Source organism: Homo sapiens, chromosome 3 (genome assembly GCF_000001405.40).
Source record: "Homo sapiens chromosome 3, GRCh38.p14 Primary Assembly".
Classification (NCBI taxonomy): domain Eukaryota; kingdom Metazoa; phylum Chordata; class Mammalia; order Primates; family Hominidae; genus Homo; species Homo sapiens.
The window spans coordinates 10,162,806-10,184,004 of NC_000003.12; the positions used below are offsets into that span (position 1 = coordinate 10,162,806).

Below are 21,199 nucleotides of genomic sequence, written 5' to 3' on the forward strand. Positions count from 1 at the left end.
AGGTGAAGGCTACACATAGTAAGTGCTCAATAAATACTAGCTATTTTATATATGTGTGTGTGTATTTTATATATATATATATATATATATATATATATATATATGTATACACACACTATAAATTCTGTTCCTTGTACCCTCTTTGTTTATTTAGAGACAGGGTCTCACTCTCACCCAGGCTGGAGTGCAGTGGTGCAATCTTGGCTCACTGCAATCTCCACCTCCTGGGCTCAAGTGATCCCCCTACCTTAGCCTCCCAAGTACCTGGGACTACAGGCACATGCCACCATGCCTGGCTAATTTTTGTAGAGACAGGGTCTTGCTCTGTTTCCCAGGCTGGTCTCGAATTCCTGGGCTCAAGCGATCTGCCTGCCTCTGCCTCCCAAAGTGCTGGGGTTATAGGTGGGAGCCGCCGCACCCAGCCCCTTATACCCTATTTAATAATCCAGTTTGTCCTGCAGTCCCCTGCACCATACTCTGCTTTTTTCCCAGTAATAGTATCATCTAAGATAATGCAATTGGCCACTTGCACTCCCTTTTACCACCCTCTACTTTTATTCTTTCTTTTCTTTCTTTTTTTTTTTTTTTTTTTCAGAGACAGGGTCTCATTCTGTCACTCAGGCTGCAGTGCAGTCATAGCTCACTGCAGCCTCAAACTCCTGGGTTCAAGAGATCCTACCACCTTAGCCTCCTGAGTAGCTGGGACTATAGGTGTACACTACCATGCTTGGCTCATTTTAAAATTTTTTGTAGAGGCCAGGCGTGGTGGCTCATGCCTGTAATCCTAGCACTTTGGGAGGCCGAGGCAGGCGGATCACGAGGTCAGGAGTTCAAGACCATCCTGGCCAACACAGTGAAACCCTGTCTCTACTAAAAATACAAAAATTAGCTGGGCGTGGTGGCGCGTGCCTGTAATCCCAGCTACTCGGGAGACTGAGGCAGGAGAATTGCTTGAACCGGGACCTGGGAGGCAGAGGCTGCAGTGAGCCAAGATTGCGCCACTGCACTCCAGCCTGGGCTACAGAGCAAGACTCCGTCTCAAAAAAAAAAAGTTTTTTGTAGAGATAAGATCTTCCTATGTTGCCCAGGCTTCTACTTTCATTCTCCAACATAGCTTATCTGCCTATTTTTATTGCTTGTTGTCTGTCTCCCTCCAGGACAAGGATTTTGTCCTTCTCTTCAGAGGTATTCCCAGCACCTACAACAGTGCCTGGCACATAGTAGCTGCACGATACATATTAGCTACTATAGTAAAGTCTACCTGACTACCCTATTTAATAGAATATTCCCCATGCTCAATCTGAATTCCTGATTCCCTTTAACCAACTTTTTTTCCTTTTTTTTTTTTTTTGCAATAGTGCTTATTACCTTTAAGACACTCTGTAACATACTATATTTATTATTTATTGTTAGTCTTTCTCTCCACACCTAGATTGTAAGTCTTATGAAAGCAAGGGCTTTTGTAGGCTTTTTTTTTTTTTTTTTTTTTTTTTTGAGACAGAGCCTCACTCTTCACCCAGGCTGGAGTACAAGGGCACAATCTGGGCTTACTGCAACCTCCGCCTCCAGGGTTCAAGCGATTCTTCTGCCTCAGCCTCCCAGGTAGCTGGGACTACAGGCGTGCGCCACCGTGCCCGGCTAATTTTTGTATTTTTAGTAGTGACGGGGTTTCACCATATTGGCCAGGCTAGTCTCGAACTCCTGACCTCGTGATCCGTCCGCCTCGGCCTCCCAAAGTACTGGGATTACAGGAGTGATCCACCGCGCCCGGCTGTAGGGTTTCTTATTCAGGTATTACCAACACCTAGGGAGTTGCCTGGCATACAGTAGGTAATTAATGGAGTATTTGATGAGCGCATGATGCATGGTGTAGTGCCGATGGAAGTGGGGTCAGAAGGCCTCCTGCCGCTGCGGCAGAATTCCCGTGTGGCCTTCTCCCACCAGGGCCTCAGTTTCCCCTCGCAGTTCCGATTCTCTGGCCGGCGCTGGGGTGGAGCCGGCGGGGCCGTCGTGCCGCCCGTGGCCGCTGGGGACGCTGGTGCCCTCCCGCCCCGCCCACTTCCCCGCCGGTCCGCCCCTGGCTAGAGAAGCCGCAGCCCGCAGTGTCCGACCCAGTCGTCCCGCGCCGGAGCCGGCCCCGTAGCGTGCCATGGCCTGCTACATCTACCAGCTGCCCTCCTGGGTGCTGGACGACCTGTGCCGCAACATGGACGCGCTCAGCGAGTGGGACTGGATGGAGTTCGGTGAGTGCGGCCCGGGGAGGGGAGGGGACCAGGGCGACCGGAGCCCCCAGCGATCCCGCCTGGAGCGGCCGCCAAGCTCCCTCGGGCACCCGGGTTCAGCGGGTCCCGATCCGAGGGCGTGCGAGCTGAGCCTCCTGGACCGGGTCCGCCGCGGACCTCGGCCTGTCACCTGAAGGTGCCGCGTGGTCTCTGAGGACGTCTGTCGACGAGCAGGGGCCGCCGCCACTGCGCTCTGAGTCCAGAGAACGGTGGGTACGGGGGCCCTCCTGTCAGCGCTGCTGGCTCGGTGACGTCCCCAGGTGGCCTCTCATCCAGCCCACAACAGCCTGCAAAGTGCGAGCCTCGACCCTGTAGGGACCCACGGTGCTGTCACTTCTTGGGGGGGTGTGTGTGTGTGTGTGTGTGGTGTGTTTAGTTTTAGTGTATATTAGAAGGATCTATGATTTAACATATATATATATATTGAAACGGAGTTTCGCTGTTGTTGCCCAGGCTGGAGTGCAATGGCACGGTCTCGGCTCACTGCAACCTCCACCTCTGGGATTCAAGCGATTTTCCTGCCTCGGCCTCCCGAGTAGCTGGGATTACAGGCGCCCGCTACCACCCTGGCTAATTTTTTGTATTTTCAGTAGAGACCGGGTTTCACCATGTTGGCCAGACTGGTCTTGAACTATTTTTTTTTTTTTTTTTTTTTTTTTTTAAGACGGAGTCTCACTCTGTCGCCCAGGCTGGAGTGCAGTGGCGCGATCTAGGCTCGTTGCAAGCTCCGCCTCCCGGGTTCACGCCATTCTCCTGCCTCAGCCTTCTGAGTAGCTGGGACTACAGGCGCCCGCCACCACGCCCGGCTAACTTTGTATTCTTAGTAGAGACGGGGTTTCACCGTGTTAGCCAGGATGGTCTGGATCTCCTGACCTTGTGATCCGCCCACCCTGGGCCTCCCAAAGTGCTGGGATTACAGGCATGAGCCACCGCGCCCGGCCTCCGGAACTCTTGATCTCAGGCGATCCACCTGCTTCGGCCTCCCAAAGTGCTGGGATTACAGGCGTGAGCCACTGTGCCCAGCCTATTTATCATATTTGTGATTAAATGTACTTTACCATTATAGTTTTAAAATCAGATATTTACTTTTAGTGTACATTGTTTTGATCACAGTATTTATGACTATCAACCTGTTTTGAGATCAGATGTGTCCTAATAGATTCAGTGTGTATAATGGGGCCTAAGCACAAGCACTTACTTTCACTCTATTGCAAGGTGCACAGTTCTAGATAATTCCGTGGGAAGGCACTCAGACAGCCTCCATATGTTTTGTTTGTTGGTGCCTGACGGATGACTGGCGGAGAGGGCCATGGACTCTGCGGGGAGGCCGCTTGCCTGTTGTCTCTGCTTTCCAGGTGGAGATCTGCATTCCAGGCTCTTGCTGTATGACTTTGGGCCAGTTTGTTAACCTCTCTGAGCCTCAGCTTCTGAATCTGTATGTAAACTGGAGATGATAATTATAGCTTCTTCATAAAGTTGTGAGGAATGAAAATACTGTATAAAAGCACTGACACCTAAGTGTTAAATATTCTTATAAGTCATAAGTTGTAATATTCTCTTTTCATTTTTATTTTTTTGAGACAGTCTCATTCTGTGGCCCAGGCTGGAATGCAGTGGCGAGATCTCGGCTCACTGCAGCTTCCGCCTCTTGGATTCAAGTGATTCTCTTGCCTCAGCCTCCCGAGTAGCTGGGATTACAGGCATGTGCCACCACGCCCACTAATTTTTATGTTTTTAGTAGAGATGGGGTTTCGCCATGTTGGCCAGGCTGGTCTCGAACTCCTGACCTCATGTGATTTGGCCGCTTTGGCCTCCCAAAGTGCTGGGATTACAGGCGTGAGCCACTGCTCCTGGACCTGGCTTCACTACTTTGAATGTTTCCTGGGCAGTGAACAAACTTTGTGTGAGACTCCCTCTCATTTTTTCCACATTGGCCCAGCCCTCAGTTACAAATGCCAGAACAACTTCTGTTTCTAGGAAATTCAATTAGAAGGCATACCTATGACTTAAAAAAAAAATAAAGCTTTACTGAGATATTCACATACCATACAATCCACCTGTTTCAGGAGTACAATTTAGTGGTATTTAGTATATTCACAGGGCTGTGTATCCATCTTCACAATCAATCTTAGAACATTTTAATCACCCGAAGAAGAAACTCTGTACCCGTTAACTTCCAATCCCCTCCTTCCATTTTCCTGAGTTTTAGACATTGCCTATTTTGGACATTTCATATAAATGGAATCATATAATATATAGTGCTCTGTGACTGACTTGTTTCAACTAACATGAGGTTCATCCATGTTGTAGCATGCGTCAATACTTAGTTTCTTTTTTTTTTTTTTGAGACGGAGTCTCGCTTTGTCACCCAGGCTGGAGTGCAGTGGCGCAATCTCGGCTCACTGCAAGCTCCACCTCCTGGGTTCATGCCATTCTCCTGCTTCAGCCTCCCTAGCAGCTTGGACTACAGGTGCCTGCCACCATGCCCGGCTAATTTTTTTGTATTTTTAGTAGAGATGGGGTTTCACTGTGTTAGCCAGGATGGTCTTGATCTCCTGACCGTGTAATCCACCTACCTCGGCTTCCCAAAGTGCTGGGATTACAGGCGTGAGCCACCGCGCCCAGCCAGTTTCTTTTTATTGTAGGATAATGTTCCATGGTATGGATATACTACATTTCATTCATTTATCAGTTGTTGGGCATTGGGTTCTTTTCACTTTTGGGCCATTGTGAATAGTGCTGCTGTGAACACTCACATACAAGATTTTGTGCAGTGGTGCAAATGTAGCTCACCGCAGCCCCAACTTCCTGGGCTCAAGCGATCTTCCTGTCTCCTGAGTAGCTGGACTACAGGTGTGCACTGCTGCACCCAGCTAACTTTTGTATTTTTTGTAGAGACAGGTTTCACCATGTTACTCAGGCTGATCTTGAACTCTGGAGCTCAAGCGATCTGCCCATCTCACCTTCCCAAATTGCTGGGATTACAGGTGTGAGCCACTGCATCTGGCTTTATGTTTAACTATTTGAGGAGCTACCAGATGTTTTCTAAAGTGGCTGAACCACCAGTGTATGAGGATGACCATTTCTCCACATCCTTGTCAACATGTGTTATTTTTTTCTTTTTTTAATTTTTTTTTTTTTGAGACAGAGTCTCGCTCTGTCGCTGAGGCTGGAGTGCAGTGGCATGATCTCGGCTCGCTGCAACCTTAGCCTCCTGGGTTCAAGCGATTCTTGTGCCTCAGCCTCCCAAGTAGCTGGGATTACAGGCATGCACCACCGTGCCTGACTAATTTTTGTATCTTCAGTAGAGACAGGGTTTCACCGTGTTGGCCAGGCTGGTCTCAAACTCCTAACCTCAGGTGATCTGCCCGCCTCGGCCTCCCAAAGTGCTGGGATTACAGGTGTGAGCACCATGTCCGGCCTTATTGTTGCTTTTTTGATGGTAGCCACCTGAGCCAGTGTGAAGTGGCATCTTACTGTGGTTTGATTTGCATTTCCCTAATGACTAATGCTGTGGAGCATCTTTTCCTGTGCTTGTTGGCCATTTGCACATCTTCTTTGGAGAATACCTCTGCGAGGCTCCCCACTGGGATGGATATGATCTGAACACCTTGCCAGGCATGTTGACTCTGACACATCTGCCCAGTGCTGGCCTCTCTGACCTCCTCTTCTTCCACACCCACTGTCACTCCCCTGCTCCAGCCACACTGACCTCCCTGGGCCAGACACAGGGTCTTTGCAGGTGCTGTTCCCTCTGCCTGGGACGTTCTTCCCCCTGTGTTACCTGGGGCTAGCTTTCTAGTCTATTAGTTTCCTCCTGTTGCAGTTATAGATTACTACAATATCAGGGGAACCAGCCCGCAGTATTTCAATGTAGGTTCTTTTCTATTTTCCCTAAGTGTCGGCCGGTCTGAGAAATAAAGAGTACAAAGAGAGAAATTTTACATCTAGGCCTCTGGGGGTGCTGTTACACATTGGTAGGACCGTGATGGTGACCCCGAGCCACAAAACCAGCGAGTTTTTATTAGGGATTTCAAAAGGGGAGGGGTGTACGAATAGGGAGTAGGTCCCAGAGATCACATTCTTCAAAGGGCAATAAAAGATCACAAGGCAAAGGTGAAATTAGAATTACTGGTGAAGGTCCATGTCCCACTGGGCACGCATTGTCTTGATAAACATCTTAACAGGAAACAGGGTTGGAGAGCAGACAACCCGTCTGACTAGAATTCACCAGGCTGGAATTTCCCAATCCTAGTAAGCCTGAGGGCACTGCAGGAGACCAGGGCATATTTCATCCCTTATCTCAACTGCATCAGACAGACACCCCCAGAGTGGCCATTTATAGACCTACCCCGGGAATGCGTTCCTTCCCCAGGGTTATCAATTATTAATATTCCTTGCTGGGAAAAGAATTCAGCGATATTTCTCCTACTCACACGTCCATCTATAGGCTCTCTGTGAGAAGAAAAATATGGCTCTATTCTGCCCGACCCCACAGGCAGTCAGACCTTATGGTTATCTTCCCTTGTTCCCTGAACATCACTGTTATTCTGTTCTTTTTCAGGGTGCCCTGATTTCATATTGTTTAAACACCCACGTTTTACAATCAGATTTCATATTTTTCAAACACACGTTTTACAAACAATTTATACAGTTAATGCAATCATCACAGGGTCCTGAGGTGACATACATCCTCAGCTTATGAAAATGATGGGATTAAGAGATTAAAGACAGGCATAGGAAATTATAAGAGTATAAATGTCCATAAAATCTTCACAATTTATGTTCAGAGATTGCAGTAAAGACAGACGTAAGAAATTATAAAAGTATTAATTTTGGGAACTGATAAATGTCCATGAAATCTTCACAAGTTGTATTCTTCTGCCGTGGCTTCAGCCGGTCCTGTTCGGGGCCCCTGACTTCCCACAACACTACAAAGTTGGTGGCCTGTAACACCTCAAGTTTATTATCTCAGCATTCTGGAGGTCAGAAGTCCTAACTCAGGGTGGCTCTAGGGAGGAGTCGGTCTCCTGGCCTTGACTGGCTTCCTGAGGCCTGCAGCATCCTGTGGCTTATGGCCCCTTCCTCCATCATCAAGGCCATGGGTGTGTATCATCACATCTGTCTCTGTGACTTCTGCTTCTACCATCACCTCATCTCTGAATCTGATGTTCTGGCCTCCCCCTTACAGGGACCCTGGTAATTACCTTGGCCAGACCCAGAGAATCCAGGATAATCTCATCTCAGAATCCTTGATTTAATCTAACCTGCAAAGTCCCTTTTGCTATGTAAGGTACCATATTCACAGGTCTCGGGGCTTAGGATGTGGATGTTTTCCAAGGGTATTATTCTGTCTGTCACAGTCCTTCAGGTAAGCTCCTGTGGCACCTCTTTGAAATCAAGAGGACTTTCCTGCCCCTGTTCCTCTCTAGCCCATCACCGTGTTTCATTTCCCTCATTCCGCTTCACAGCCTTTGATGTCCCCTCGTTCCTGAATTTTTTCCACCTGTCTCTCCCTATGGAATGGAAGCCCCGTGCGGGCAGGGGCCTTACCTGTCTAGTTTTTCACTGCTGTATTCCCAGAGCCTGGGACAGTGCCTGGCTAGAGGGCAGGTGCCAGAATGAATGATGAGCTGCCAGGCCTTGGTGTGGTGAGGATGCGGGCTGCCCACTCTTACCCATTGGAGCTGGCCTGGAGCCTTTGGTCAGCCCACTTCCTACACTGGATCAGAGCCAGCGGTGCCTCCGGCCCACTGCTCCTCGCCCAGTCCCAGTGCTCCAGTTCCCTCTTCAGCTGAATGAACGAGTGACTGTGATTGACCCTTCAGTCCTAAAAATTCTTGGCTTCCTGTGGGTCATTTTAGAAAGAAGACAGTCCCTCAGAGCTGATGGTGATACTGGGAGAGTGTAGTGAGAACGCTAAAGTGATTCAGAAGATCCCGCAGCCACAGACAGCCACGCTCTTTCAGATCCGACACTTGTTGGCAGATAATCTGGCCACGCCTAGTTCTTGTCTCCGTGATGGCAGCTGCCTCTGTTGGGCTTTGCCTGAGCCTGTGTAAAAAGGGTTTCCTACAGCTTCAGCCCCAGGTGTGTGCAGAGGGGCTCGGCGCAGGGGCTCTTCTGTGTGTGGCCGTTCCCCGTCTCGTTCACTCATGCGTGTGCCAGCCTTTGTGCACAGCCCTGCTTTGCCCTGCCCAGCTGTGTGACATCAGGCAGGTGACTATCTCTCTCTGAGCCTTTAGTTTCCTCATCCATGAAGCACCCTCACAGTGTTGCTGAGAGGCTTAGGAGACTCAGCTTATTGTAAAGGGTCAAGTTAGGGCTTTCCTCATCCCCCACCCAGGGAGGGGTGTGGGCATTCGATTCTAAGATGGGTCATTTCAGGAGGCTGTGCCATCCCTGCTGTGGAGGACTTTGAAGACAGGCAAGGTTTTCTACTGCCTCGGGTGAACTCCTGCAGGATTCAGGAACTCAAGAGTGATAGTCCCTGTACTGTTAATCATCAGGGATAAAAACATTTTCAGGCCAGGTGCAGTGGCTCACGCCTCTAATTTCAACACTTTGGGAGGCCTAGGTGGGAAAATTTCTTGAAGCCAAGAGTTTGAGACCAGCCTCGTGATCCGCCCGCCTCAGCCTCCCAAAGTGTTTGGATTACAGGCGTGAGCCACTGCACCCAGCCTTTTTTTTTTTTTTGAGACGGAGTCTCACTCTGTTGCCCAGGCTGGAGTCCAATGATGCAATCTCAGCTCACTGCAACCTCGGCCTCCTGGGTTCAAGTGATTCTCCTGCCTCAGCCTCCAGAGTAGCTGGGACTACAGGCGCCCGCCACCACACTCTGCTAGTTTTTGCATTTTCAGTAGAGATGGGCTGGGCGTAGTGGCTCACGGCTGTAATCTCAGCACTTTGGGAGGCCAAGGTGGGAGGACCACGAGGTCAGGAGTTCGAAACCAGCCTGGCCAACATGGTGAAACTCTGTCCCTACTAAAAATATGAAAATTGGCCAGGTGCGGTGGCTCATGCCTGTAATCCTAGCTCTTTGGGAGGCTGAGGTGGGTGGATCATGAGGTCAGGAGATTGAGACCATCCTGGCTAACACAGTGAAACCCCGTTTCTACTAAAAAAAAAAATTAGCCGGGCATGGTGGCAGGCGCCTGTAGTCCTAGCTACTCAGGAGGCTGAGGCAGGAGAATGGTGTGAACCTGGGAGGTGGAGCTTGCAGTGAGCAGAGATCGCACCACTGCACTCCAGCCTGGGCGACAGAGCGAGACTCCGTCTCAAAAAAACAAACAAACAAAAAATTAGCCAGGTGTGATGGCACTCGCCTGTAATCCCAGCTATTCGGGAGGCTGAGGCAGGAGAATTGCTTGAACCTGGGAGGTGGAGGTTGCAGTGAGCTGACATGTGCCATTGCACTCCAGCCTGGGCAACAAGAGTAAAACTCCGACTCAAAAAAAAAAAAAAAAAAAAGGCCGGGCGCGGTGGCTCATGCCTGTAATCCCAGCACTTTGGGAGGCCGAGGTGGGTGGATCACGAGGTCAGGAGTTTGAGCCCAGCCTGGCCAACATAGTGAAACCCCGTCTCTACCAAAAATACAAAAATTAGCTGGGCATGGTGGCACATGCCTGTAGTCCCAGCTACTCGGGAGGCTGAGGTAGGAGAATTGTGTGAACCCAGGAGGTGGAGGTTGTGGTGAGCCAAGATCGCGCCACTGCACTCCAGCCTGGGCAACAGAGCGAGACTCTGTCTCAAAAAAAAAAAAAAAAAAAAAAAAGTAGAGACGGGGTTTCATCATGTCGGCCAGGCTGGTCTCAAACTCCTGACCTCGTTATCCGCTTGCCTTGGCCTCCCAAAGTGCTGGGATTACAGGCGTGAGCCACCGCACCTGGCCAAACTCTATGAAAAACAGGTTTTCATAGAATGTAGATAGTTTAACACTTACAGCTAATACTTATATCATGTTTATTGTGTGTTAAGCACTGTTCTGAGTGCTTCTGTACATAGAACTCATCTAATCCTTGCAACAATCTCGGAGGCAGGTGCTGCTGTTATCCTTGTTTGACAGATGAGGAAACTGAGGCTCAGGGGGAGATGAACACCTTCCCCAAAAACACAGCAAGTAAGCAGCAGAGACAGGATTTGAACCCAGGCCCCGAATCCCAATATCTGGCCTCTGAACCACCACTACTGTCCTGCTGACTTTCGCACATGTTTTCATATCTGTAGAAAAAGTCTGGAAGATTAGACACCAAAATGTAACTGGTGGTGTCCTTGGAGTCCTCCAAGTGGGATAATCATGGGGACTTTCATTTTCTTGTTTCCCAAATATTCTACGATGACCAGCTATTACCTGTCCATGCTGAGAAAAAAGCTGCAGCTTAGCAGAAGGCCTTGGTAGTGACTCATCCCCTCAAGATCTCTATCATGTCCCGACTCTAAAGGGTCTGGTTGAGACTGGGTACGGTGGCTGATGCCTGTGATCCCAGCTCTTTGGGAGGCCAAGGAGGGTGGATCACTTGAGCTCAGGAGTTTGATACCAGCCTGGCCAAGATAGTGAAACTCCATCTCTACTAAAAATACCAAAAAATTAGCCGAGAGTGGTGGCACATGCCCTGTAGCCCCAGCTACTTGGGAGGCTGAGGCAGGAGAATTGCTTGAACCTGGGAGGCATAGGCTGCAGTGAACTGAGATCACGCCACTGCACTCCAGCCTGGGCAGCAGAGCAAGACTCCGTCTGAAAAAAACTAAATAAAATAAATAAAGGGTCTGGTTAAATGCTGATTGGTCAACACCTTAAGATATGGCACCGTCATGGAACAAAAATGTCTAAGCTGGAAGGCACCTTAGAGTTTAATTCCTGTTTCTCTTGTATTACCATCACGAGTAAGGAAAGTTCAGCCCACAGAGAGTCAGGCTGTGGCTGAGTTCCTGCTGCCACCCACGAGGGGTGGCCCTGGGCTTCTGTTTTCCCATTACGTCATGCTGCCTCCCAAGATGGGAGTGTGTGTGGATGACCAATGCTTCGTGGGGGGAGATGGTCCTTCCTTTTCCATCCGTTCTCTTCTCTGTATTGCTAGAAGCAGCCGCTGACCCAGCTGACATCACTTCCCACTGACCAGCAATCTGGCCTGGGGTTTCCAGTGACTAACATAGCAATTTAGGAACTTTCCATCTTAATTGGGCACTTCTCCTGGAGGCTTTCTGTGTGCAGGAGACTGTCACCAGCCCATTTTGTCCAAAGGGTAGGGGATTGTGCAATCTGGTCACAGCACTCACTGGCTCTGAAATTTTCTGTGGTCCCTTGTAACTCTTAGGATCAAGTCCAAACTCCAAAGCTGGGCATTCACTTGAGGGTCTTTGTTATGTGGTCCTGGGCTTCATCTCTTGCCTTCCCTTCTTCTACTCGGCCCACCTATGTTTATATATTTTTTTGTTTTGTTTTGTTTTATTTTTTTGAGATGGAGTCTCACTCTGTTGCCCACGCTGGAGTGCAGTGGCGTGATCTCGGCTCACTGCAACCTCTGCCTCCCGGGTTCAAGTGATTCTCCTGCCTCAGCCTTCCACGTAGCTGGGACTACAAGTGGGCACCACCACGCTTGGCTAATTTTTGTATTTTTAGTGGAGATGGGAGTTCACCATGTTGGCCAGGCTGGTCTCGAACTCCTGAACTTAGGTGATCCGCCCACCTCAGCCTCCCAAAGTGCTGGGATTACAGGCATGAACCACTGCACCCGGCTGATTACTCCTAGTTTTAATAAAAATGCCTTTCTCACTTCAGTAAACCAGTGGAATACTGGTCATAAAAATCCATTTATGGGCCAGGCACAGTGGTTCATGCCTGTACCAAAAAAAAAAATTAGCCAGGAATGGTGGTGTGTCTGTCATCCCAGCTGCTGGGGAGGCTGAGGTGGGAGGATTGCTTGAGCCTGGGAGGCCAAGGCTGTGGTGATCCATGTTTGCACCACTGTACTCATGCCACCTGGGCAACAGAGTGACACCCTGTCTCAAAAAAAAAAAAGATTTTTAAATTTTTATTTATTTTTAATTTTTATATTTTTGAGACTCAGTCTCTGTCGCTCAGGCTGGAGTGCAGTGGCACGATCTCAGCTCACTGCAACCTCCACCTCCTAGGTTCAAGTGATTTCTCCTACCTCAGCCTCCCGAGTAGCTGGGAGATTACAGGCGTGTGTTACCACACCTGGCTAATTTTTGTATTTTTAGTAGAGACGGGGTTTCACCATGTTGGCCAGGCTAGTATCGAACTCCTGACCTCAGGTGATCCACCTGCCTCAGCCTCCCAAAGTGCTAGGATTATAGGCATGAGCCACTGTGCCCAGTCCCTGTGGTATAATGTTAATAAATAAGACCAGGATGCAGAATCTCAGGTGAGGCATGGTGGCTCACACCTGCAATCCCAGCACTTTAAGAGGTTGAGGTGGGAAGATTGCTTGAGGCGAGGAGTGCGAGAGCAGCCTGGGCAACATAGTGAGACCCCATCTCTTAAGAAAAGGTACAAAATCAGCTGGGCACGGTGGCTCACGCCTGTAATCCCAGTACTTTGGGAGGCCGAGGCAGGCGCATCACAAGGTCAGGAGATTGAGACCATCCTGGCTAATGTGGTGAAACCTGGTCTCTACTAAAAATACAAAAAAATTAGCCAGGCGTGGTGGTGGGCGCCTGTAGTCCCAGCTACTCGGGAGGCTGAGGCCGGAGAATGGCCTGAACCCGGGAGGCGGAGCTTGCAGTGAGCTCAGGAGTGCACCACTGCACTCCAGCCTGGGTGACAGAGCGAGACTCCGTCTCAAAAAAAAAAAAAAAAAAAAAAAGAAAAGATACAAAATCTTACCTGCAGCGTGGCAACAACTACATCCAAAGACACATCTATGTAGAGGGGGTGATTTTTGGAAAGGGGAAGTACCCTAATGGCCTTAGGAGGGTGGTGAGATGCTGTGTAACTTTTCCCCCTGTATTGTCCATGTTTTTTTTTTTTTTTTTTTTTTTTGGTGAACAACCATCAATTTTATGGTAAAACACCAAAAGAAAGAATGCATTATTTTTATTGTTACTAGTGGTAGCTCCCTGCAAGTTTTGTCCCATACTTCAGAATTGGCAAAGTATTTTTGTATCCATGGCTCTCTGATCCTTATAACAGTTCTGTGAAGACGATGTGGTATGTGTGTGTGTTTTCATTCAGTCATTCACTTAGCATATCTTTTTTGTTGTTGTTTTTGGAGACAAGGTCTTGCTGTGTTGCCCAGGCTGGAGTGCAGTGACATCATCGTGGCTTGCTGCAGCCTCCAACTCCTGGGCTCAAGTGATCCTCCCATCTCAGCCTCCTGAGTAGCTAGGACTACAGATGCATGCCACCATGCCTGGCTACTTTGTTTATTTATTTATTTATTTATTTTGAGACAGAGTCTCTCTCTGTCTCCCAGGCTGGAGTGCAGTGGCGCGATCTTGGCTCATTGCAAGCTCTGCCTCTCGGGTTCATGACATTCTCCTGCCTCAGCCTCCCGAGTAGCTGGGACTACAGGTGCACGCCACCACGCCCGGCTAATTTTTTGTATTTTTAGTAGAGACGAGGTTTCACCATGTTAGCCAGCATGGTCTCAATCTCCTGACCTTGCGATCTGCCCGCCTTGGCCTTCCAAAGTGCTGGGATTACAGGCGTAAGCCACTGCGCCTGGCCTACTTCGTTTATTTTTTGTAGAGACAGGGTCTTTTTTTTGTTTTGAGATGGAGTCTCGCTCTGTCGCCCAGGCTGGAGTGCAATGGCGTGATCTTGGCTCACTGCAAGCTCCGCCTCCCAGGTTCACGCCATTCTCTTGCCTCAGCCTCCCGAGTAGCTGGGACTACAGGTGCCCGCCACCACGCCCGGCTAATTTTTCTATTTTTAGTAGAGACAGGGTTTCACCGTGTTAGCCAGGATGGTCTTGATCTCCTGACCTTGTGGTCCACCTGCCTCGGCCTCCCAAAGTGCTGGGATTACAGGTGTGAGCCACCATGCCCGGCCTACTTTGTTTATTTTTTGTAGAGACAGGGTCTCACTATGTTGCCCAGGCTGGTCTTGAACTCCTGAGCTCCAGCAATCCCTCCTTGGTCTCCTAAAGTATTGGAATTACAGCTGTGAGCCGCTGCACCTGGCCTCATACACTTGTTGAGTTCCCCTGACCAGGACTGGGACTTAGCTGAGAGGAATGAGATGCCCAGGGCAAAATGTAAGGAGGCGCTGATGCTCAGGGTCCTGCGGTGCCACCTGAAGATGAGCGCCTCCTGCATTTTCCTTCCCTAGGTGCCTCACCTGACTCACCCTCATCCTGGCCCCACCTCCACTCTGAACCAGGCACTATTCTCAATTCTGGGGAAGTAACAGTGAACCAAACAGGTAGAGCTCCCTGCCTACACGGACCTTCCATTATAGAAGGGGAGGCAGGCAGAGCTAGTACCCACTGAGGCTCCCACGGGCGCAGTGACTGCCCCAGGCATAGCAGCAGCCAATGCTCAAGGCTTTGACCCTCCTGTCCCGTGGTCTTTCTCCTAAGTCATATGTACTGGACCCCATGGGTGCCCAGCAGAGTCAGCGTTGTAACTTGGGCCACCTGTGGACCTCAGCTAATGGTGGTGTTTCCAGTGTGGAGGCGGTGGTTGGGGAGGATGTCCTGGAAAAGCCCAGCTAGGGGCTAGTGTGGGGACCTGTCCTAGAGGGACTGCCTCTCTGACTCTAAGCAGAGTTCTCTCCGTCCCTTCCAGCCTCCTACGTGATCACAGACCTGACCCAGCTGCGGAAGATCAAGTCCATGGAGCGGGTGCAGGGTGTGAGCATCACGCGGGAGCTGCTGTGGTGGTGGGGCATGCGGCAGGCCACCGTCCAGCAACTTGTGGACCTCCTGTGCCGCCTGGAGCTCTACCGGGCTGCCCAGATCATCCTGAACTGTGAGTAACTCAGGGCCCTCCTTGAGTGGGGCCCATCACGCTCCTGAGCAGTTTCCATCCGTGTGAGTTGCACTCTCTGGCCTTAATACTTTTTTCCTCTTTTAATTAAAAAATTTAATGAGTGAGTTTACCATGCACATAAGAAACTGGTAACAGGCCAGGTGCGGTGGCTCACGCCTGTAATCCCAGCACTTCCGGAGGCTGAGGTAGGTGAATCACCTGAAGTCAGGAGTTTGAGACTGGCCTGGCTAACATGGTGAAAACCCGTCTCTACTAAAAATACAAAATTAGCTGGGCTTGGTGGCCTGCGCCTGTAATCCCAGCTACTCAGGAGGCTGAGGCAGGAGAATCGCTTGAACCTGGGAGGCGGAGGTTGCAGTGAGCCAGGATTGCACCACTGCACTCCAGCCTGGGTGACAGTGAGACTCTGTCTCCAAAAGAAAAAAAAAAAAGAAACAAAAAAAAGAAACTGGTAACAGTGGTTACCTGTGGGGAGAGGAACTGGGCTGCCAGAGAACACAGTATTGGAGGGAGACTTTACTGTAAATTATTTCATACCTTTTAAATTTGGGCTATCTGTTCCAAAAATAAATACATTAATTAATTTAAAAAACCCCAATAGCTATAACAAAAATTCAAAAAAGCATGCAGCAAAAATGATTCATATTGCTTCTTTTCCCCACTTTACATCCCAAGAAGTAATGATTGGTAAAAATTTCTGGCTTGTCTTACTAGAAATTTTCTCTGCATGGGCAAGGGTATTATATATCTGCAATTCCTTTTTTAAAAACTTTTTTTTTGAGACAGGGTCGTGCTCTGCTGCCCAGGCTGGAGAGCAATAGTGTGATCAAAGCTCACTGCAGCCTTGATGTCCTGGGCTCAAGTGTCCTCCTGCCTCAACTTCCTGAGTAATTGGGACTATAGGCACATGCCACCATGCCTGACTAATTTTTCATTTTTTTGTAGAGATCCAGGCTGGTCTTGAACTCCTGGTCTCAAGTGATCCTCCTGCCTTGGCCTCCCAAAGTGCTGGGATTGCAGGCATGAGTCACATCACCCTGCCTGCAACCCCCTTTTGATACAGCTAGTAGCACATCATGTATTGTGAATTTTTTTTCACCTAGCAAAGACCTTGGGGACTTTTCATATTGACACATTCTTTCTAATAGCTACATTGTATTCCTTTGACAGATGCTCTATGATTTGTTTGCCCCTATTGAGATGTGTTTATGTTCCTTCTAGCATTTTTCAGTTGTTTTTTTTTTTTTTGAGATGAAGTTTCACTCTGTCTCCCAGGCTGGAGAGCAGTGGCACGATCTTGGCTCACCACAACCTCCACCTCCCATGTTCAAGAGATTCTCCTGCCTCAGCCTCCCAAGTAGCTGTGATTACAGGTGCCCACTACCACATCCAGCTAATTTTTTTTTTTTTTATATGAAGTCTCTCTCTGTTGCCCAGGCTGGAGTGCAGTGGTGAGATCTCGGCTCATTGCAGCCTCTGCCTCCTGGGTTCAAGTGATTCTCCTGCCTCAGCTTCCTGAGTAGCTGGGACCACAGATACCCACCACCATGCCCGGCTAATTTTTGTATTTTTAGTATAGACGGGGTTTCACTGTGTTGGCCAAGCTGGTCTCAAACTCCTGACCTCAAATGATCCACCTGCCTTGGCCTTCCAAAGTGCTGGGATTATAGGTGTGAGCCACCGTGCCCAGTCAACTTTTTGTAGTTTTAGTAGAGACAGGGTTTCACTATGTTGACCAGGCTGATCTCCAACTTCCAACCTCAGGTGATCTGCCCACCTTGGCCTCCCAAAGTGCTGGGATTACAGGTGTGAGCCACCATGCCCAGCCATTTTTCTATTCTGTATAGTGTCATGATACACTTAGATGTATAGAGCCTGTTTTGCACACATGTAAGTGTAGCCATGGGATGGCTTTCTATTATAGTATTGGAATGTCTGGGTTGAAGGTTTTTGCATTTTAAGTGTTGATTGATATTTAGTATTAACAAATTACCCTCCTCTGAGAGAACAGGATCATGTGTGATGGGGACATATTTAGCTGGTAATACCTCCCTACCCTGAAGGGTGGCTGTGAAGTCGAAGAGAATAAGTGCCTGATGTTCAGCTGGTGCTCAGCAGAAGGCAGTGGGGATGGGGGGTCTGGTTACCCCCACCCCTCCTCACATCCCCAAAGAGACCCCCTCAGCGTAGGGCAGGGAGCCAGTCTTCTGCATGTACTTAACTGAGCACCTGCCTGGTTCTGCCCTAGGTTCTGGAATACAGCACAGGCAATGTGACAGGTCCTCCGCCCTCATGAGGACACAGTCTTGTGAGGAGACAGTTAATGCATAGGAAAACTAGTACAGAAATGGGCAGGCAGGATACAGTGACCAGATAGGGGAGCCTCCTAGGACAGGGGGTCAAGGAAGGCCAGTGTGAGGATGTGAACCTAGAGGAATAGGAAGAAGACAGCCACATGACGCATTGGGTAAGAGCTCAGGAGAGAGGGGCCAGCATGTGCAAGGGCCCTGAGGAGCCAGTGGTGGGAGCCCCAGACACCTGGGGAGGAGCTGTCCTGTCTGGGGTTCCTGAGCTGGGAACCACCTGGCTGGACCATCAGACCAGATTCAGCACCTGCCTATCCCTCAGGTCTTCTGGAGTCATTGAGGGCTTCCAGGAGGGGGGACTGGGAGCAAAGGCCTGAGGGTGGGGGCCTAGAGAGTACCACCCTCTGAGATAAACCAGGAGAGCAGGGGATGCTGTGGTGGACGTGCAGGTGGAGAGATCTAGAGCTACAGCCCAGGCTGGGCTTTTGGGGGCATTGTGGGGCAGACCACACCAGTCACGGGGAGGCCAGTGGGGCAGCGAGAACATCTCCTCCCTTCAGCTGGCAAGCAACTTTCCAGGCCCTCCTGTCTGGGGTCGGGAATGGGGCGATCTGGCTACCAATGGGAGTGATGTTCCAGCACAGGACGGTGGCTGGGCCTGCTTCTGCACAGGCTGGACCCTGACTCCTCTGTGTGCCCCCAGCAGCATAGTGGTGGCTCCTCTTGAGTCATGGTCCTCCCCATCCCCTGGACTTCTGTCTCCACCCCTGCTGGCTGCCTCCCTAAGCACACCTTCCTCCTCAGAGTGGAGAGGGTCAGCTAGCTGCCCAGGCCACAGCCTCCCCATTCCTGGAACCCACCTGAAACCCCTCCCTGCCCGGTGCTCCTGAGCCGCTGCCGTTCCTCTCCTTACATTCCCCCTGCGAAAGTTGTCAGAATCAATATGGAGTGACTTTGTGTTAAAAAAAAAAATAACCCTTGGCTGGGCATGGTGGCTCACGCGTGTAATCCCATCACTTTGGGAGGCCGAGGCGGGTAGATCACCTGAGGTCAGGAGTTTGAAACCAGTCAGACCAACATGGTGAAACCCTGTTTCTACTAAAAATACAAAAAAATTAGCTGGGCTCCTGTAGTCCCAGCTACTCATGAGGCTGAGGCAGGAGAATTGCTTGAACCTGGGAGGCGGAGGTTGCAGTGAGGGGAGATTGCACACTGCACTCCAGCCTGGGTGACAGAGCGAGACTCCATTTCAAAAATAAATAACCCTGACAAATAGAACTAGGGAAGGCCATGAAGGGAGGACTGTCATGCATAAATGCCCAACAACAATAACTGTCACGGAAGACTCTACAAAAACCACAACCTTGCATAAAGACCATTGTAACCACACACAAAAAATACTTCTGCGAGGACATCTGCCCAGCAAATGCCTATCCGACCCTGGAGACTGGAATCACTCTTGTTATTCAAGGATAGTTATCTCAAAACAGTTATGTAATCCTCTTCACTTTTCCTTTGAAAAACCTCCCTGGATACACACTTAGTTTACTATGGCACGTGTACTCTCATTCCAATGCCCTATTCCTGAGTAAGCATCATTTTCTTTTTTTTCTTTTTCTTTTCTTTTTTTTTTTTTTTGAGATGGAGTCTTGCTCTGTCACCCAGGCTGGAGTGCAGTGGCGCAATCTTGGCTCACCGCAACCTCTGCCTCCCAGGTTCAAGCGATTCTCTTCCCTCAGCCTCCCAAGTAGCTGGGACTACAGGCACCTGCCACCACACCTGGCTAATTTTTGTATTTTCAGTAGAGACGGGGGTTTCACCATATTGGCCAGGCTGGTCTCGAACTCCTGACCCGAGGTGATCCACCGGCCTTGGCCTCCCAAAGTGCTGGGATTACAGGTGTGAGCCACTGTGCCCAGCTACATCATTTTCTTTTTTTCTTTTTTTTTTTTTGGGACAGAGTCTCACTCTGTCGCCCAGCCTGGAGTGCGGTGGCACGATCTCGGCTCACTGCAAGCTCCGCCTCCCAGGTTCATGCCATTCTCCTGCCTCAGCCTCCCGAGTAGGTGGGACTACAGGTGCCCGCCACCACGCCCGGCTAATTTTTTGTATTTTAGTTAGAGACGGGGTTTCACCTGTTAGCCAGGATGGTCTCGATCTCCTGACCACGTGATCCGCCCGCCTCGGCCTCCCAAAGTGCTGGGATTACAGGCGTGAGCCACTGCGCCCGGCCTTGTATTTTTAGTAGAGATGGGGTTTCGCCATGTTGGCTAGGCTAGTCTCAAACTCCTGACCTCAGGTGATCTGCCCGCCTCAGCCTCCCAAAGTGCTGGGATTACAGGCTGAGCCACTGCGCCAGGCCCTTTATTTTTTTAATTTTAATTTTTTGTTATCTCTATAGTAGTTCAAACAGATGCCCACTAATTTGTTTTTTTTTTTTTGAGACGGAGTCTCTTTCTGTCACTGAGGCTGGAGTGCAGTAGTGCGATCTCAGCTTACTGCAACCTCTGCTTCTGGAGTTCAAGTGGTTCTCCTGCCTCAGCCTCCCAAGTAGCTAGGATTATAGGTGTGCCCCGCTGCATCTGGTTAAGTTTTTGAATTTTTAATAGAGATGGGGTTTCACCATGTTGGCCAGGCTATTCTTGAACTCCTGGCCTCAAGTGATCTGCCCACCTCGGCCTTCCAAAGTGCCAGGATTACAGCCGTGAGCCACCGCGCCTGGCTGGATGCCCACCACCTCTTAAAGGGTGTTAATGATAAATTTGAAGAAAACAGTACTTGAAAGCCCCACACACCAGAAGTCCTGGACATGAAGTGGCTTCCTGAGGGACTTACCTCTCCAGGGGATGTGCCTGGATGTGACTGTGGCCTTTTGAAGGCCATGCTTGAACTCAGTGGTACGACAGGGGCCCACTGGGGGCCATATCCCTGCACAGTCTCTTGAAATGTGAACTGCAGTGGCTGCCTGGTCTGAATGGGTAGAGGGCTGGCTCTGTGGGTCTCTGTTCCTTGATATTTCCTCAGCCTTAGTTGCCAAGGCCGTAGTTATTTAATTTGTCAAACACTGAATACTCTAAGAATTAGAATGGGCCGGGCGCAGTGGCTCAAGCCTGTAATCCCAACACTTTGGGAGGCCGAGGCGGGCAGATCACAAGGTCAGGAGATCGAGACCATCCTGGCTAACACAGTGAAACCCTGCCTCTACTAAAACAAACAAACAAAAATTAGCCTGGCGTGGTTGCGGGTGCCTGTAGTCCCAGCTACTCAGGAGGCTGAGGCAGGAGAGTGGTGGGAACCCGGGAGGCGGAGCTTGCAGTGAGCCAAGATGGCACCACTGCACTCCAGCCTGGCGGCAGAGCGAGACTCCGTCTCAAAATAAATAAATAAATAAATAAATAAGAGAATTAGAATAAATCAGTACAGAAGGCTTAGAACAGAAAGCAGCTACCCATTCCTTGCCCTAGCAAATCTGCTGGCCAGAGTCAGCCCCTTTTTCCTCTTTTAGCCATCCATGTCTTGGGCTCCTCTATTAGCCTTCCAGGTTCACTACTGTAAAACAAGCGCAGACCACAGTGGCTGAGAAAAGACAGGCGTTCGTTTCCCTCTCCTGTGACTGCCAGGCTGCCCCGGGCTCAAGTGGCAGCTCCGTGGTTTTGT

General features: G+C 49.8%; 1 protein-coding gene across 1 annotated transcript in view, besides 22 other annotated features; it reads left to right on the forward strand.

Annotated features, from left to right (window-relative positions):
• Positions 1-7,690: part of a meiotic recombination region, noted in NCBI's record as "this region was identified as a recombination hotspot within the HapMap YRI population", that runs on past the window's edge. NCBI's record gives the evidence for it as "EXISTENCE:nucleotide sequencing assay evidence [ECO:0000219][PMID:20981099]".
• Positions 1-7,986: part of a meiotic recombination region, noted in NCBI's record as "this region was identified as a recombination hotspot within the HapMap CEU population", that runs on past the window's edge. NCBI's record gives the evidence for it as "EXISTENCE:nucleotide sequencing assay evidence [ECO:0000219][PMID:20981099]".
• Positions 1-21,199: part of a biological region, named in NCBI's record as "3p25 IRAK2 Alu-mediated recombination region", that runs on past both edges of the window. NCBI's record gives its function as "recombination_partner: LOC107303337 | LOC107303338 | LOC107303339 | LOC107303340".
• Positions 679-691: a nucleotide motif, noted in NCBI's record as "nucleotide motif; similarity to the predicted 13-mer PRDM9 A binding motif (LD hotspot motif), CCNCCNTNNCCNC".
• Positions 1,838-3,734: a meiotic recombination region, noted in NCBI's record as "meiotic double-strand break mapped by DNA meiotic recombinase 1 chromatin immunoprecipitation followed by single-stranded DNA enrichment and sequencing in the germ cells of some male individuals with the PRDM9 A/A and PRDM9 A/C genotypes". NCBI's record gives the evidence for it as "EXISTENCE:chromatin immunoprecipitation-seq evidence [ECO:0000229][PMID:25395542]".
• Positions 1,949-2,078: a silencer, noted in NCBI's record as "silent region_14055". NCBI's record gives its function as "represses an Ori minimal core promoter by ATAC-STARR-seq in GM12878 lymphoblastoid cells {active_cell/tissue: GM12878}" and the evidence as "EXISTENCE:reporter gene assay evidence [ECO:0000049][PMID:35858748]".
• IRAK2 (interleukin 1 receptor associated kinase 2) overlaps positions 2,114-21,199 on the forward strand; it is a 78,827-nt gene continuing 59,741 nt past the window's right edge. The window contains exons 1-2 of the mRNA NM_001570.4: positions 2,114-2,243; positions 15,033-15,215. Coding sequence (NP_001561.3) covers positions 2,150-2,243; positions 15,033-15,215 — 277 coding nt within the window. The 5' untranslated portion in view covers positions 2,114-2,149. The remainder of the gene's footprint in view (positions 2,244-15,032; positions 15,216-21,199) is intronic.
• Positions 2,279-2,428: a silencer, noted in NCBI's record as "silent region_14056". NCBI's record gives its function as "represses an Ori minimal core promoter by ATAC-STARR-seq in GM12878 lymphoblastoid cells {active_cell/tissue: GM12878}" and the evidence as "EXISTENCE:reporter gene assay evidence [ECO:0000049][PMID:35858748]".
• Positions 2,492-2,504: a nucleotide motif, noted in NCBI's record as "nucleotide motif; similarity to the predicted 13-mer PRDM9 A binding motif (LD hotspot motif), CCNCCNTNNCCNC".
• Positions 2,917-3,143: a mobile genetic element, noted in NCBI's record as "direction; reverse".
• Positions 3,135-3,143: a non allelic homologous recombination region, noted in NCBI's record as "AluY recombination sub-region a, recombines with the AluYa5 recombination sub-region within the 3p25 VHL Alu-mediated recombination region". NCBI's record gives the evidence for it as "EXISTENCE:nucleotide sequencing assay evidence [ECO:0000219][PMID:19280651]".
• Positions 3,168-3,183: a nucleotide motif, noted in NCBI's record as "nucleotide motif; similarity to the predicted 16-mer PRDM9 C-type binding motif, CCNCNNTNNNCNTNNC".
• Positions 4,610-4,909: a mobile genetic element, noted in NCBI's record as "direction; reverse".
• Positions 4,869-4,898: a non allelic homologous recombination region, noted in NCBI's record as "AluY recombination sub-region b, recombines with the AluY recombination sub-region b within the 3p25 BRK1 Alu-mediated recombination region". NCBI's record gives the evidence for it as "EXISTENCE:nucleotide sequencing assay evidence [ECO:0000219][PMID:19280651]".
• Positions 6,182-6,692: an enhancer, noted in NCBI's record as "OCT4-NANOG hESC enhancer chr3:10210671-10211181 (GRCh37/hg19 assembly coordinates)". NCBI's record gives its function as "activates a minimal SCP1, AML or CMV promoter by ChIP-STARR-seq in primed H9 embryonic stem cells {active_cell/tissue: H9 hESC(primed)}" and the evidence as "EXISTENCE:reporter gene assay evidence [ECO:0000049][PMID:30033119]".
• Positions 7,736-7,751: a nucleotide motif, noted in NCBI's record as "nucleotide motif; similarity to the predicted 16-mer PRDM9 C-type binding motif, CCNCNNTNNNCNTNNC".
• Positions 8,965-9,150: a mobile genetic element, noted in NCBI's record as "direction; reverse".
• Positions 9,064-9,068: a non allelic homologous recombination region, noted in NCBI's record as "AluSg recombination sub-region, recombines with the AluSx3 recombination sub-region within the 3p25 BRK1 Alu-mediated recombination region". NCBI's record gives the evidence for it as "EXISTENCE:nucleotide sequencing assay evidence [ECO:0000219][PMID:19280651]".
• Positions 11,241-11,340: an enhancer, noted in NCBI's record as "active region_19418". NCBI's record gives its function as "activates an Ori minimal core promoter by ATAC-STARR-seq in GM12878 lymphoblastoid cells {active_cell/tissue: GM12878}" and the evidence as "EXISTENCE:reporter gene assay evidence [ECO:0000049][PMID:35858748]".
• Positions 12,804-13,113: a mobile genetic element, noted in NCBI's record as "direction; forward".
• Positions 12,943-12,952: a non allelic homologous recombination region, noted in NCBI's record as "AluY recombination sub-region c, recombines with the AluY recombination sub-region a within the 3p25 VHL Alu-mediated recombination region". NCBI's record gives the evidence for it as "EXISTENCE:nucleotide sequencing assay evidence [ECO:0000219][PMID:19280651]".
• Positions 19,470-19,775: a mobile genetic element, noted in NCBI's record as "direction; reverse".
• Positions 19,610-19,625: a non allelic homologous recombination region, noted in NCBI's record as "AluY recombination sub-region d, recombines with the AluY recombination sub-region b within the 3p25 FANCD2 Alu-mediated recombination region". NCBI's record gives the evidence for it as "EXISTENCE:nucleotide sequencing assay evidence [ECO:0000219][PMID:19280651]".